Below are 16,267 nucleotides of genomic sequence, written 5' to 3' on the forward strand. Positions count from 1 at the left end.
TCACTGTAACCTCTGTCTCCCGGATTCAAGCAATTCTCCTGCCTCAGCCTCTGGAGTAGCTGGGATTACAGGTGTGCACCACCACACCTGGCTAATTTTTGCATTTTTGGTAAAGACAGGGTCTCACCATGTTGGCCAAGCTAGTCTTGAACTCCTGACCTCAAATGATTCACCTGCTTTGGCCTCCCAAAGTGCTGGGATTACAGGCATGAGCCACCACCCCTGGCCAGTGATCCACATTTTAAATAATTGCTTGCTATGATTTGAATGCAGGTGGTCTGAAACCTATCGAGAACACTAGCTTGAAACATTTCAGATTCAGTGTTTTGTAAAGCAGAGGAGAGGCCATGATTGGCCATTAGGAGCTTCATCAAGCGTCAGCTTGCCCACAGCTTTGGTTTCCAGGGAGACTGGGAAGTAACAATACAATAGTTCATCTTCATTATGAGTGTACCATGCCAAGAGCTTTCCTAAGTGCTTTACATTCATTATCCTCTTTAATTCTCTTAAGAATTGTATGAGGTAGGTCCTATTATTACCTCTATCTTACAAGGAAACTGAGGATCAGACAAGGATATCTAGCTTATCCATGATTAGGTAGAGCTGACAATGGGATTAAATAATCAAGTCCTGCTACTGCCAGGTTAAGAAAACCCAGCTCTTTGTTGTTTTATAACAACTGGGGGAAGCTGGTGTGCATCATTGGCTGATAGGAAGAGAAATTGAATTCCACATCTATGTCCTACTTCATGCATGGATTGCTCTCAACAACCGTGAAACGGAATACAAAACAGTGAAACAGGTGAAATTCACATCTTGTCTTTCCGTGTGCATACTCTTAGGACCAGCCCTGGCCATGTTCTGTATATGACCACTTTAACCTCAAAACTGTACTGTTAAAACTCAACAATAAGAAAAGGAACAGTCCAGGCCAGGTGTGGTGGCTTACACCTGTAATCCCATCACTTTGGGAGGCCAAGGCTGGTGGATCACTTGAGCCCAGGCATTTGAGACCAGCCTAGGCAACGTGGCAAAACCCCGCCTCTACCAAAAAAAATAAAAAATAAAAAAACAACAACAAAACTCCAAATCGTGGTTGTGTGCACCTGTAGTCCCAGCTACTCAGGAGGCTGAGGTGGGAGAATTGCTTGGGCCCAGGAGGTGGAGGTTGCAATGAGCTGACATCACACCACTGCACTCCAGCCTGGGCAATAGAGCAAGACCCTGTCTCAAAAAAAAAAAACAAAAAGAAAAAGAAAAAATGAAAAGGAGCAGTTCAATTAAAAAATGGGCAAAAGACCTGAACAGACACCTCACCAAAGAAGATATATGGATACCAAATAAGCATATGAAAAGATGTTCAACATCATTTATTGTTAGGGAATTGCAAATAAAAATGACAAAAGATACAACTACATACCTATTACAAGGGCCAAAATCCAAACACTGACAGCACCAAATGCTGACGAGAAAGTGGAACAACAAGAACTCTCATTCTTTGCTGCTGAGAATGCAAAATGATACAGACACTTTGGAAGACACTTTGGCAGTTTCTTACAAAACTAACATACTCTTACCACATGATCCAGCAATTATACTCCTTGATATTTACCCAAATGAGCTGAAAACATATCCACACAGAAACCTACACAGGATTTTATAACTGCTTTATTCATAGTTGTCAAAACTTGGAAGCAACCAAGATGTCCTCCAGTAGGCGAATGGAAAAACACACTGTGGTACATCCAGACAGTGGAATATTATTCAGTACTAAAAGGAAATGAGCTGTCAAGCCATGAAAAGACATGGAGGAAATTTAAATGCGATTATGAAGTGAAAGAAACCAATCTGAAAAGGCTACGTATGATTCCAACTATATGATATTTTGAAAAAGGCAAAACGGTGGAGATAGTGGTTGACAGGGGTTGGAGGGAGGGCAGGATCAACAGGCAGAGCACGGAGGATTTGTAGGGACGTCAAACTGTTCTTTATGGTTCTGTAATGGTGGATCCATATCATGATACATTTGTCCAAACCAAAGAGTATACAACACCGAGAATGAACTCCAATGTAAACTACAGACATTGGGTGATAATGATGTATCAGTGTAGGTTCACTGATTGTGACAAAGATCATCCTCTGGTGGGGGACGTCCATAGTGGGGGAGGTGGTGCATGTCTGGGTGCAGTGGGCATATGGGAAGTGTACTTTCTGCTCAATTTTGCTGTGAACCTAAAACTGCTCTAATAATTCAAGTTCATTAATTCAAAAAGAACCCCTGAATTGTTTTAACAGGGATATTTGAATATTGAGTACTGACCAGATATTTACTGATATTAAGAAATTGTTGGCCAGGTGTGGTGGCTCACACCTGTAATCCCAGCACTTTGGGAGGCCAAGGCAGGTGGATCACCTGAGGTCAGGAGTTTGAGACCAGCCTGGCCAACAGGGTGAAACCCTGTCTCTACTAAAAATAACAAAAATTAGCTGGGCATTTTGGTGCATGCCTGTAGTCCCAGCTATTTGGGAGGCTAAGGCAGGAGAACTGCTCGAACCCAGGAGGTGGAGGTTGCAGTGAGCCAAGATCATGCCATTGCACTCCAGCCTGGGCAACAGAGCGAGACTCCATGTCAAAAAAATAGAAAAAAAAAAAAAAAAAAGAAATTGTTGGGGTTTTTTTTCAGGTGTGATACTGGTATTGTGGTTATGTTTTTAAAAAGTCTTTATGTTTTTAGCTGGGTGCGGTGGCTCAGGACTGTAATTCCAGCTACATGAGAGGATTGCCTGAGGCCAGGAGTTTGAGACCAGCCTGAACAACATAGTGAGTACCTGTCTCTAAAAAAAAAAAAAAAAAAAAAAAAAAAGTCTTTATATTTTAGAGTTATATACTGTAATATGTATGAATGAAATGCTATGAGGTTTTAGATTTGTTTCAAAACACTCCAATGTGTGTGTGTTGGGAGGAAGTAGATAAAACAGGGCTGGTGATAGGATGATAATTGTTGAAGCTAGCTGATGAGCACATAGAGCTTGATTACACTATTACTTCAAGTTTGTACATGTTTGGACATTTCCATAATGTAAAAACACAATTACATGCTTCAAGTCTCAATCCCTAGGTCTCTTACACTCTGGGAATGGATTTAATAAATTTAGCAAATGCACCTGAGGTTAATAATGGATTTATACATTGCTGTGGCTACAGAACATTTACATTTTGACACAGGTCTTCAATATCTTAATCTAAATAAGCAAATATTGTGGAAATTTCAGACATTACCCCAATCTGACAGGGCAAATATTTTTATTAGTTCTAACTTTCCCCTTCCCTAATTTACTTATGTATAGAATTGGTCCTCATCCCTGACTGTGGGGAGACTTTTGATAGTTATTACCTTTTCTTTCTTTCTCTTTCTTTCTTTCTTTCTTTCCTTTCTTTCTTTCTTTCTTTCTTTTTCTTTCTTTCTTTCTTTCTTTCCTTCCTTCCTTCCTTCCTTCCTTTCTCTCTCTCTCTCTCTCTCTCTCTTTCTTTCTTCTTTTTTGAGACAGAGTTTCACTCTGTCACCCAGGCTGGAGTGCAGTGGCGCCATCTCAGCTCACTGCAACCTCCCCCTGCTGGGTTCAAACAATTCTCCTGCCTCAGCCTCCCGAGTAGCTGGGATTACAGGTGATGCCTGGCGAATTTTTGTATCTGTAGTAGAGACGGAGTTTCACCCTGTTGGTCAGGCTGGTCTCGAATTCCTGACCTCAGGTGATTTGCCCGCCTCGGCCTCCCAAAGTGCTGGGATTATAGGAGTGAGCCACCACCTCCGGCCAACTATTACCTTTTCTAAGAATGCTTTATGACATCATGGCATTTCAAATTGTGTAACATTCAGAACGTTTTCTGTTGTATCCTTTCCTAGGTCTTCATTACTTTCCTGGGACTTGACAGGGCATATTGAATCTATCCTGTAATGCATGGGAATAAATAAGGATTCCAAAACGTGAATTGGATTTAGTTAATTTTTGTTTCTCCATGTCTCCATACACACAGGCAGCATGAGTGAGCATCTAGTATGTATTGGATATGTGCTGGGTTGATACCATAAAGAGATTTATAAAATGGTGCCGACTTTGAGGGGTTCACACTCTGGGGGAAAGACTGTGCTGTCTAAGTGAATAAATTTGGAGATTGAGGGCTTCATGGAGAGGAGGAAAGTTGTGCTTTATAACATCATGGCATATTTGCATGAGCCATGCAAATAAGAAGCTCATCACCCACCCGATTTATGTCAGAATCAGAACCCAAAGCCAGGGACCCACCAACCAACTGTTCGGCCCAGCACAGTTTCCCTGTGGCAATTCCACTTCTTTTTTTCTTATCTTACGTCGCAGTGTACTTTGTCTCTTGTAACTCCTGCAGGATTTTTCTTAAAGCCTTACATGGTGCTGTTATCACGTGGCACAAAATGAAGCCGACCTCTTTGTGTGTGGGAATAGAGGGAGCATTACACTGCTGGGATGCAACAGATGGAGGGTGGAAAGCTGTCCAGCACCTTGTCTCTTCCAAGATACATAGCCCAGGGGTATTCCCATTCCTCCACGACACAAATGACAACTTCCTTGAGCTCTGATGGCTTGCCAGGTGGCTGATGGCGTGGAGAACCTTGCTCATGTTTACCTGTTCTTGCATCCATTACTCACCTCTGCCCACGTGCCCCCACACTTGCACACAAAGCCACAGAGTGGCTTAAAAAAAAAAAATGAAAAGCCTCCCCCCAACCCTATTGTAAAATGTCAAGTGTTTCAGTTTTGAGAAAAAAGAAAGCTGAAGAAACCATGACTCATGACATGGGCTGACAAACAACGATCTGAAGGTATGCTGGTGAGTCACACTGTGGAGCTCTGCCTTTGTGTTGTGGTGAGGGCCGGGGCTGGAAGGAGTGTCATGGGACCAGCCAGTAAAATTCCACTACTCTCCGAAGCCGATTGGGAGGCAATTTAAAAACCCTGGGCTTTTTCCAGCCCCAGTGTAGTGGATGACTCTGGGTCCCCTCAGGTATGTCGATCTGTATGGGAAATCAGGAAGAATGATTATTAATAACTGGAAAAAAAAAACCTGTTAGTATCTTTCCATGCCCAATGCCATGCTGAACCAGCCCTGCCTGCTTCTGCAAGCCAGCGAGGCTGCTGGATTTTCTCGAAGGGTATTGAGTTGCTAAGCAACAGCACTGGCGGCGCCTATCATGCCCAGCGATGTCAATGCCTGAGTGTGGCCTGCAGAGCACATTTGCTCCCCTCCCCCTCGCCTCCTCTCGACCCCTTCCCCCCACTACATGAGAACATTAATTTGCATCTCAGGGACAGGAGCTGTGCCAGGTGATTCTGTGTATAAAACAGCGCAGTGCAGCCCCTGAAGCACAAATATTGTTTTGGGTTGCAAGGCGGTGCATGTGACGTAGTTGAAAATACAGACTCATTTGTGTATACTCCCCACGTAAGGAGGGTAGGCTTCATCTAAAAGCCTGCGTGTCAAATACTCCTTTCTAATACATCCTGGTGTGCTCTGCCTTGAAGTGTTTTTTTCCTGTCTGCCCATCCAGCATCTTATTTATGCCCCATTCTGTCCCTCTCTCTCGTTGCCTTTGTTCTGTGGTCTCCTGGGTGATGGAGTTATTGTTTGTGTGTAGGGATGTGTGGATAAAAGGGAGCTGATTTCTAGAGGTGAGATGGCCCTGTGGTTAACGGTTGGAGGCTGCTGTTGACAAGGCCTGTTGCTGTGGCAGTTTTGCTCCGGAAGTGGCCATTTTCTGGGCAGGGCTCCACCAGAGCACCATCTGTCTGTGCCTTTTACTTCCTGTCAAGAGGCAGCAGGCTTCGTGAGCTGGGGAAGTGCCAGAAGCAGCCTTCGAATTAGACAGACCTGGACCCAAACCCTTTCTCTTCCCCCCACCCATTTTGGCATCTTGGCACGAGACTGTCCCCATTTCTGGAAAGGGTGTTCACAAGAACAGTCTGGCTGGGTTGTTGGGATGACCGAGTGTGATCATGCGTCTCTATGGCTGGCCATGGTGTTTATTCGATGGCAGGTATTACCAGGATGGAGCGAGTCCCAGTAGGAAGGGCCTTTAGGATGTCATCTGGTTCCACCCAACAGGGATGGGAACTGTAATTCCCCACTCTCCCTGTGGAGAATCAGGGCGGGCTCCGGATGGATGGCCAAAGGCTGCACAGAGGTGAGCCTCCAGGGTTGGGTTCTAAGCGCTGTTCACACTCCTGTCCCAGTGGTGTTTGGTCTGGGGCACATTGTGATATGTGTTTCCCTCCTTTCTTAAAATTAGCTCTTGGCTTCAGGGCCTTGTAGTGGACTGATGTCCCTCCTTAACTGAACAGTCAGTCTGCTTATTTTTTTGGGGTGGTTTAGGGGTAAAAATAAGTAGATAACTGAACAAAGCTGGCTGGCAGGAACCTTCGGCTGACCGCAGGGCTTTGGTGGTGGTCAAGACCTGGAATTGGATTTGAGGCCTGGCCAGCGTGAAGGATATGCCATAGGAGCCCAGGAGGATGACTCTGCCAGGCCTGCTTTTGACATGTCTGTCATGCTTCATGCTTTATGCTGCTCTGGGCCATTAAGCAAGAACTAAATCTGATGCCCAATCAAGGCTGAGCTCTTTTTTTTTTTGAGACACTGTCTCACTCTCTTGCCCAGGCTGTAGTGCAGTAGTGTGATCATGGCTCACTGCAGCCTCAGTCTCCTGGACTCAAGTGATCCTCCCACCTCAGCCTTCTGAGTAGCTGGGAGTACAGGTGAGTCAGGTGAGTCCCACCACACCCGGCTAATTTTTTTTTTTTTTTTGGTAGAGATGGGGTTTCACTGTGTTACCCAGGCTGGTCTCAAACTCCTGGGCTGAAGACCATCCACTCGCCTCAGCCTCCCAGTGTTGGGACTATAGGCGTGAGCACTCATCTAGTCTAGGCTGAGCTCCTAAACAGGAAATGTGTGGCATGGCTTCTTTGAAGGTGGCTTTCTCATTCTGAGTTTTAAACCACAACCACTGAAGATGGTTAGTGCCTGCAGAATGCGTACCATTTCCACTCAGAGAAACCATTCCTCCTTAAGGAAAGCTGGGGCCGTTCCTGGTCTGGCGTTCCCAGTGAAGGAAGAACCAAGTGGATGCCCCTCAACCCCAGCCCGAGGCAGCTGTGTCGTTATGGTCCAGCTGGGCACCCCACTCTTTAGGAGGTGGAGAGGGAAACAGGGGGATTGGTCTAGGTTTGTGTGGGTCAGAGCCAGGTGAGAAGTTATAGTAGTTGCTGGGCAAAGTAAATAAGAAGGAGACAGAAAGGCCCAGGCACGCAGGAGACCCCAGCTAAAAGGGCAGGGAGAGGGACACGTTGGTGGTCAAGAAGAGGGAAATGAGGAGGGGCTTTTGGAGATCCCGCCAAAGAGGTGTTCTGTGAACCCCTCCCGCTGACACACCTACTGAAGGGTCCACTGAGACAGCAAAGCAGGAAGGGTGGAAAGGGTCCGCCAGGGGCAGTGCCTGACATGTGCTAGAGGTGACGTAGAATCTGGGATCAGCGACAAAAGATCACACCTAGAACCGTGGTCAAGGATGTGAGCCAGATTTTCTGGGGCTCAGTCCTGGGTTTGTCACTTAACTGTGTCACTTGGAGCAAGTCACATACCTCTGGCAGTCTCAGTTGCTCATCAGAAAAATGGGAATTTTATATATATATATAAAAAATATAATTATATATTTATTTATAATATGTGTATATATAATTATATGATTATAATAATCACAAATGGGATTATATATAATATATAATTATACATTAATTTATAATATATATTTATTTATAATATATGTGTGTATATATACGCATATATACATATGTATGTATGTCTATATCTCTATCTTTCGGGTTGTTTTGAGAATTAAATGACCTAACCCATGTAAAGCCCTGTGTACCGTGCCTGGCATGTAGGATACTTCATCACTGTCACCTGTTTTTGTTGTTATGACCTGAGCATCTCCCTGTTCACCAGCCCTTGTTCTTTAGCCACAGGTTGAAGATGACAGTAGATCCTAAGGAACCTCAGTTCTATCCCGAAATGCGAAGGCCTTTTTACTCAACCACAAAGAAGTGGTCAGCAGAAAACTGGTCATCCCGGCCTCTGGGGCCATGCACAGCACTCAGGAGGAGCTACTATTTTCCCTGCCTGTTTACATGCGGCCTGGGGCCTTGTGGGCTATTTGAAAATTAGGACACGAGAAGTCCAAGCAGCACCTGGTAATTAAACTGAGTCCTCTATCAGAGAGAGGCGTGACCTTGAAGGGCATCCATACAGGAGCCAGGGGCAAAGCAGAAGGTGGGAGGGATTCTCCAGGCTTGACCCTCTCAGCACATCTCAGTCAGGGGTGCCTGGCAGCCTAGATTCCAGCCCTGCCCAGTGCCACCCAGAGACCTGAGGGAGGTGGACAGCTGCTCAGCTGGGTGATGGGAGCCTCTAGAAATAGTTGTCAACCTCATCAAACCAGAGATGAGCCCTTAGGACAGCCAGGGTGTTGATTTCCAGCCAGGCAGGGCATTGGTTCTCCAGTGGGATGTGGACAAGGTTCACTGCAGCCTCTCAGCAGATGAACTAGGGGAGAGACACTACCCCAACCATGCTCCCCCGACCCTTCGGTGTTAAGTGAAAGTATCTTCCTTTTTTCTCTCTGCTCTCTCCGCTTTACAACAAAATATTATCTTTAGTCTGCAAAACCAGGGCCAGGAAGAATCTTCACAGCTAGACAGGGCCATGGAAAGATGATGAGGCATATCAGGAACTATGTAATCTTGTAATACTTCTGCTGCAAAACCTCCTGACGTTCTGAATGAACAGTCACATGCAGCCTCTTCAGTGCAAAACTGAGCTCATAAGAAAGTAAAGCAAATCTGTAGGGGCCAAATGAAGAGTGAACTGGAAGTCAGAGCTTCAAGTACATGACTGATGTGGTGTATCCCTTGGGGATGGGGGTGTACACGCTGGTTTTGGGAAGCAGGGCACTTGGGTTTGAAAGTTCATCCAGGACATTTGTGTGACTCTCAGTTTTTGAATATTGGTGAATAGTGCTGCTTAGAACATTCTGGTATGTGAGTTTTTGTTGCACATAAGGTATTTATGTTGAACAAATATTTAAGAGAAAAATTATTGAATTTAGGTATGTATAACCTCAGATTTGGAGAATACTGCTAAACAGTTTTTCAAAGTTGCTGTTCATTTTAAATAACAGCATATGGGCCAGGCACTATTGCTCATGCCTGTAATCCCAACACTTTGGGAAGCCAAGGCAGGAGGATTGCTTGAGGCCAGAAGTTTGAGACCAGCCTGGGCAATATAGTGAGACCCCATCGCTACAAAAAATTAAAATATTAGCTGGGCATGGTGGCGTGCACCTGTAGTTCCAGCTACTCAGGAAGCTGTGATAGGAGGATCACTTGAGTCCAGGAAATGGAGGCTGCAGTGAGCTTTGATCGCGCCAATGCACTCCAGCCTAGGCAACAAAGTGAGACCATGTATCAAAAAAAAAAAAAAAAAAAAAAGTCCAACAGCAATGACAACAGTGTAGGAGCATTCTAATTGCTCCACATCCTCAATTTGTATTGTCTTTTCCTCAGGCTTATTTTAATCACTCTGGTTGGATTTGCATTTCTTTCTTTCTTTTTTTTTTTTCTTGAGATGGAGTCTCACTCTGTCACCAGGTTGGAGTGCAGTGGCATGATCTCAGCTCACTGCAACCTCCGCCTCCCAGGTTCAAGCAGTTCTCTTGCCTCAGCCTGCTGAGTAGCTGGGACTACAGGTGTGTGCTACCATGCCCAGCTAATTTTTGTATTTTTAGTAGAGATGGGGTTTCACCATGTTGGCCAGGATGGTCTCGATCTCTTGATTGAGATTGTGATCTGCCCACCTCGGCCTCCCAAAGTGCTGGGATTACAGGTGTGAGCCACTGTGCCTGACCTTGGATTTGCATTTCTAGGATGATGAATGAGAGTGTACTTTCTCATATGTATTGTGGCAATTTGATACCTGCTTTTATGAAGTGTTTGTTCAAGTATTTTGCTCATTTTTTCTATTGGGTCATCTGTATTTTTCTTACTGATTTACAGTTTATACTTGATTTATAGATTTGTTTGAAATATAAATCCTGGTGACCATAAATATATTGCAAATATCTTCTCCCATTCTTTAGCTTGCCTTTTCACTCTTTTTTTTTCTTCCTTTATTGAGACGGCGTCTCACTCTGTTGCCCAGGCTGGAGTGCAATGGCGAGATCTCGGCTCACTGCAACCACTGCCTCTTGGGTTCAAGCGATTCTCCTGCTTCAGCCTCCTGAGTAGCTGGGATTACAGGCGCCCGCCACCATGCCTGGCTAATTTTTTGTATTTTTAGTAGACACGGGGTTTCACCATGTTGGCCAGACTGGTCTAAACTCCTGACCTCAGATGATCCACTCACCTCGGCCTCCCAAAGTTCTGGGATTACAGGCATGAGCCACCACGCCCGGCCTCGTTCTCTTAATGGTGTTTTTGATAAGCAGATGTCCTTGATTTTATTAAAGTTCAAGTCTCTTATTTTTTCCTTATAGTTATTACTTTGTGAGACCTACTTAAGAAATATTGCTTAGTCCAAAATAATATATTTTCCTGTGATTTCTTTTAGAAGCTTTATTTTTATATTTTTCAAATTTAGAGCTACAATCCAATCCATCTTGAATTCTTTTTTTGTATATATAGTTTTAAAAAAATATATAGAGGTTGGTATTAATTTTTTTACATCTAGATAGCCAACTGACCCAACACTATTTATTGAAAATAATATTATTTCTCTTGTGTTACATTGTCACCATTGCTGTAAATCAAGAGACCGTATATCTATAGGTCAGTTTCTGGATCCTGGATTCTGTTCCAATGGTCTATTTGTTTATCCTTGTGACATTATCTTACTGTATACCATTACTTCATTCTATAATGAGTCTTGATATCAAATAGGGAAAGTCTTCCAACTTTGTTTTTCTTTAAGATTGTCTTGGTTCTTTTTGCCCCTTAACATTTTCATATAAAATTTAGAATGAGCTTGTCAATTTCCATGCACGCTCACAATAAACCCGCTGGGATTTTTATTAGAATTACACAGAAACTCTAGATATGCCAGATTGTAGAGAGTTTATATCTTTATAATATTGAATCTTCCAATATTGAATGGTAGAGCTCTTACACAACTTCCATTATGTTAATACCTAGGTTTGTGATTTTTTGGATGCTACTATTTATTAGTCTGTTCAGGCTGCCATAACAAAATAACATAGACTGGGTAGCTTAAAAAACAGAAATTGATTTCTCACAATTCTGGTGGTTGGGAAGTTCAAAATGAAGGTACCAGCCAATTTGGTTCCTAGTGAGCATTTTTCCTGGTGTAGGAGATGGTTATTCTTCTAGGTGGGCACCATCTTGCTATGTGTTCACATGATCTCTTCTTTGTGGGTGTGTCGCAAGAGATAGCAAGTGAGCAAGCTCCCTGGTGTCTCTTCTTATAAGGGCACTAATTCCATCATGAAAGGCCCACCTTCATGGCCTCATGTAACCTTAATTACTTCCCCAAAGCCCCATTTTCAAATACAATATATTGGGGGTTAGGGCTTCAACATGTGAATTTTGGAGGGACATAAACATTCAGTACGTAACATACTATAAATTCTTCATGTAGGTTCAAGGTTCAAATGTATATTACCCATTTGGTCTGGGAATTCTTAAGATAAAAGATTAATATAGAAGTGGTATCAAGCAGTGATGGTATCCCTGCAATGTCTGTCAGAAGCAATAAAAAATCTTCTCTGGAGGAACATTCCCTCAATTCAGGCAGTTGAAGATTGCTACAAACAGAGTCCTACTAAATATAAGTTCACAATCCAATTACAAAACATACGAGGAATCAATTTACCATGAGCAAGAGTCAGCCGACCAAGCAACTGATGGATTATGTTTCAAGAACTTAAGATAATAGAACTATCAAATATACTATAAAATAAATATATTTAAAATTATTAAAGACTTAAAAAGGAATTGAAAATTGATAAAGAGAATAAGACTATTAAAAGGAGGAGGCAGATTTGAAAAAGAATAATATTAATAAAAATGAAAAGTATATAGTCATTAAAATTAAAAACTCAATGGACAGATTAGAGACAGCTGAAGGGGAATTAGGGACTTGGAAGGTACAGGAAATTTCACAGAAAGCAGTTTAGAGAGATTAAGAGATGGAAAATATGAAAGAGAGATTAAGAGACAAGTAGGACAGAATGAGAAATTCTAATATACATGTAATGGGGTTTCCAGAAGGTAAGAAGATAGATAATGGGGTCGGGCATGGTGGCTCATGCCTGTAATCCCAGCACTTTGGGAGGCCAAGGTGGGTGGATCACTTGAGGTCAAGTGTTCAAGACCAGTGTGGGCAACATGGTGAAACCCCATCTCTACTTAAAAAATATACAAAATTAGCCAGTTGTGGTGGTGGGAGCCTATAATCCCAGCTACTCAGGAGGCTGAGGCAGGAGAATCACTTGAACCCAGGAGATGGAGGTTGCAGTGAGTTAAGATTGTGCCATTGCACTTCAGCCTGGGTGACAGACGAGATTCTGTCTCAAAAAAAAAAAAAAAAAAAAAGGTAATGGGGAAGAGGCAGCAGTCAAAGTGAAACTGGCTAAAAATTTTTTAGAATTGGTTTAAGACTTAAATCCTAAAAATCAATCAGTCTGATTACTCTTGAGCAGAATTAAAAAAATATATATGTATAGTTTAGAGGATAAAGGAGGAATCAGTAAAACTCAAACAATCCAAGAGACAGAGAAAAGAAACAAAGAAAAGACAGAGTAAGTAGGAAGTATAAAATAAAGCAATGGTAATAAAACTAAATATATGAGTAATCATAATGCATATAAATAGAATAAATTATTCAGTTAAAAGACAGAAGCTAGGTGTGGTGGCTCATGGCTTGAAGTCTCAGCTACTTGGGAGGATGGTGTGGGAGGACTGCTTGAGTCTAGGAGTTTGAGACCAGCCTGGGCACCACAGTTAGACCCTGTCTAAAAAAAAAAAAAAAGAGATTGTTAGAATAGGTTAAACACACACACACACACACACACACACACACACACACACACGCACATGCAGTCTAGTATTCTAGTATGCCTCTTGTTTAGAGAGTGACGCAGAAAGGTAGAAAATACACACCAGGGGAATACTAATCAAAAGAAAACTAGTTCGGCTATAGTAATAACAGACAAAATGGACTTTTTAATACATGTATAAAAACACTTTAAAGAGAAAAATAGTCACTACATATGATAAAAGGAACAGTTCATTAAGATACATTCACCTCCATTGACCTAGCAAGATCACCTTAAAACATATGTAGCAAAATTTTACAAAATTAGGAGGAAAAATAGACAAATCCATACTTGTAGTGAGAGATTTTAACATACCTCTCATAGTAATTGATAAACCAAGAAGACAGAGAATTAGTATGATTATGGAACATATAAACAATATAAGAAGCTTGAACAATAATTATATGTGTAATTTTACACTCAACAATCAGAGAATAGGCCGGGTGCAGTGGCTCATGCTTGTAATCCCAGCACTTTGGGAGGCTGAGGTGGGTGGATCATTTGAGGTCAGGAGTTCCAGACCAGCCTGGCCAACATGGCAAAACTCCGGGTCTACTAAAAATACAAAAATTAGCTGGGCATGGTGGCGGGCACCTGTAATCTCAGCTACTCAGGAGGCTGAGGCATGAGAATCGCTTGAACCCGGGAGGTGGAGGTTGTAGTGAGCCGAGATCATGTCACTGTACTCCAGCCTGGGCAACAGAGCGAGACTTCGTCTCAAACAACAACCACCCCGCCCCCCACTGAAAAAAGTTAGAGAATATACATTCTTTCTAAGCAGATACAGAAAATATACAGATTTTGACCATGTACTGGATATTTATATCATGAAGCTATTTATGTAAAGCTTAAAAACCCATAAAACTATACTATACCATATTCATGGATCTTCATAAAAAACATAAAATACATGGGGGCAATAGATCCTACATTCAGGCTGTAGGTTTTTCTGCAGTTGGAAGGAGGAAAAGGGGATGGGGGAGGGACATATTAGGGGCCTCAGCGGTATATGTAGTGCTTAAAACAACCTTAAATAAGAGATCAGCTTCCTGTCCTGATCCAGAAGGAGTCTAACCTCTAAGCCTCTCTCTCTCCCACTGATTATAACTAAAACTTTTAAAAGCAGAAAATACTTAAGACTTGGAAAAGTCATAGCATGCAGACTGAGGAAGGGAGTCAAAACTTGAAGAATGAATTGTTCAGAGCTGAATTTCTCATTTTCCCCCATTCTATTTCCCAACTTTGATCTGAGGGCAGCCTAGTTGTGGACCTAAAATCCTGAGAAAAACCCTGTATTTCTGGCCAGAGGACTGAGAAAATGGATCCCTGGGAACTAGATAATAGGGCAGCAGTCCCCAACCTTTTTGGCACTGGGGACCAGTTTCATGGAAGAAAATTTGTCCATGGACCTGGGTAGGGGGATGGTTTCAGGATGATTCAAGTGCGTTACATTTATTGTGCCCTTTTATTTCTATTGTTATTACATTGTAACATATAATGAAGTAATTATGCAACTCACCATAAGGTAGAATCAGTGGGAGTGCTGAGCTCGTTTTCCTGCAACTAGACGGTCCCATCTGGGGGTGATGGGAGACAGTGACAGATCATCAGGCATTTGATTATCATAAAGAGCATGCAACCTAGATCCCTTGCATGCACAGTTCACAACAGAGTTTGTGCTCCTATAAGAATCTGATGGCTCTGCTGATTTGACAGGGGATCAGGCAGTAATGGGAGAGATGGGGACTGGCTGTAAATACAGATAAAGCTTCACTCGCTTGCTTACAGCTCACCTTCTGTTGTGTAGACCTGTAATGGTCCATGGCCCAGGGACTGGGGGCTCCTGGAGTAGGGGAAATGCTGGAGAAGAGGGATTCCTTAGTTCTGTGTATGGACCAACACAAATCTTGAGCTCAGCCTCAAGTTGTATATACCCAGGACAGACCTAAAAGTACTACTGCAAAGATTTTCACAACTGACCTGACACTAGAACCCTGCAAACAGAAGGCAAGACAGAACCTGTGATCTGAACACAACAGGGTTAATGGCCTGCTAAACAAATCGAAACCAACATTCTCTAGAAGTTTTACAAGGAGAATCTAGAATTTCATGGAATAATATTAGAAATGTACAAGATACAATCCAAACTTACTTGACACATAAAGAACCAGGAAAATGTGATTATTTTTTAAAGGAAAAGGCAATCGATTATGTTAATCCTGAGATGGCCCAGATGCTGAAGTTATCAGACAAATACTTTACTTGTTATAACCAAGCCCATGAGGTAAAGGTAAACACCTTAAAATGGAAAGAAAAAAGTGTTTGGCAAAGAAATAGAAACTATTATAAAAGAATACAATACAACTTTTGAAAATGAAAATTGTAATATCTGAAAAACAAAACTCATTGAATGGGCTTAATAGCAGAATGGAGATGGCAGAGGAGTCAGTGAACTTGAAGATGTATCTATAAAAATTATCTGGTCTCAAGGACAGAGAGAAAAAATGATTGAAAAAAATTAATAGAATCTCAGTGGCCTGTGGTACAAGACCAAAAGGTCTGACATTCTTGTTCTTGTAGCACCAAAAGGAAAGAGAAAAGAGACTGGATTATGAAAAAAATATATATTTGAAGAATTAATAGCTGAAAATGTCTTACATTTCGGAAAAACATACATTTGTAGATTTAAGAAGCTCAGCAAGTCTCAAACAGAATAAACCAAAAGGAAATCATGTCCAGATGCATCACACACTGTTGAAAACCAGATATAATTGAAAAATCTTGAAAGCAGCCAGAAATAAGTAACACATTATATATAGGGGAACAAGGATTCATATGACTGAGTATTTCTCACCAGAAACCATGGAGGCTAGAAGACAGTAGAATAACATTTTTAAAGTGCTTAAAGAAAGGAGCTTTTAACCCAGAATTCTATATTCAGAAAAAATATCCTTCAGGAATGATGGTAAAATAAATACATTCTCAGATTAAGAAAAAGTGAGAGAATTCTTTGGTATTAAACCTGCTCTAAAATAAATGCTAAAGAGAGTCTTACAGGCTGAAGGTAAATG

The 16,267-nt window shown here is 42.1% G+C and overlaps 1 long non-coding RNA gene across 2 annotated transcripts in view, besides 4 other annotated features; it reads left to right on the plus strand.

Moving 5' to 3' along the window:
• LINC00649 (long intergenic non-protein coding RNA 649) overlaps positions 1–16,267 on the plus strand; it is a 40,065-nt gene that overhangs the window by 11,953 nt on the left and 11,845 nt on the right. For both annotated transcript variants that reach the window (NR_038883.2, NR_134558.1), the window contains exon 2: positions 2,736–2,821. This is a non-coding gene — a long non-coding RNA (long intergenic non-protein coding RNA 649). The remainder of the gene's footprint in view (positions 1–2,735; positions 2,822–16,267) is intronic.
• Positions 4,273–5,472: an enhancer, noted in NCBI's record as "P300/CBP strongly-dependent group 1 enhancer chr21:35319651-35320850 (GRCh37/hg19 assembly coordinates)". NCBI's record gives its function as "activates an origin of replication core promoter dependent on BRD2, BRD4, P300/CBP, MED14 and CDK7 cofactors, with strong dependence on P300/CBP, by STARR-seq in HCT116 cells {active_cell/tissue: HCT116}" and the evidence as "EXISTENCE:reporter gene assay evidence [ECO:0000049][PMID:35650434]".
• Positions 4,511–4,805: a silencer, noted in NCBI's record as "tiled region #8462; K562 Repressive non-DNase unmatched - State 1:Tss". NCBI's record gives its function as "represses a minimal TATA promoter and a strong SV40 promoter by Sharpr-MPRA in K562 cells {active_cell/tissue: K562}" and the evidence as "EXISTENCE:reporter gene assay evidence [ECO:0000049][PMID:27701403]".
• Positions 4,647–5,126: an enhancer, noted in NCBI's record as "active region_18385". NCBI's record gives its function as "activates an Ori minimal core promoter by ATAC-STARR-seq in GM12878 lymphoblastoid cells {active_cell/tissue: GM12878}" and the evidence as "EXISTENCE:reporter gene assay evidence [ECO:0000049][PMID:35858748]".
• Positions 5,657–5,716: an enhancer, noted in NCBI's record as "active region_18386". NCBI's record gives its function as "activates an Ori minimal core promoter by ATAC-STARR-seq in GM12878 lymphoblastoid cells {active_cell/tissue: GM12878}" and the evidence as "EXISTENCE:reporter gene assay evidence [ECO:0000049][PMID:35858748]".

This window comes from Homo sapiens, chromosome 21, assembly GCF_000001405.40.
Source record: "Homo sapiens chromosome 21, GRCh38.p14 Primary Assembly".
NCBI classification, from domain to species: Eukaryota; Metazoa; Chordata; class Mammalia; order Primates; family Hominidae; genus Homo; species Homo sapiens.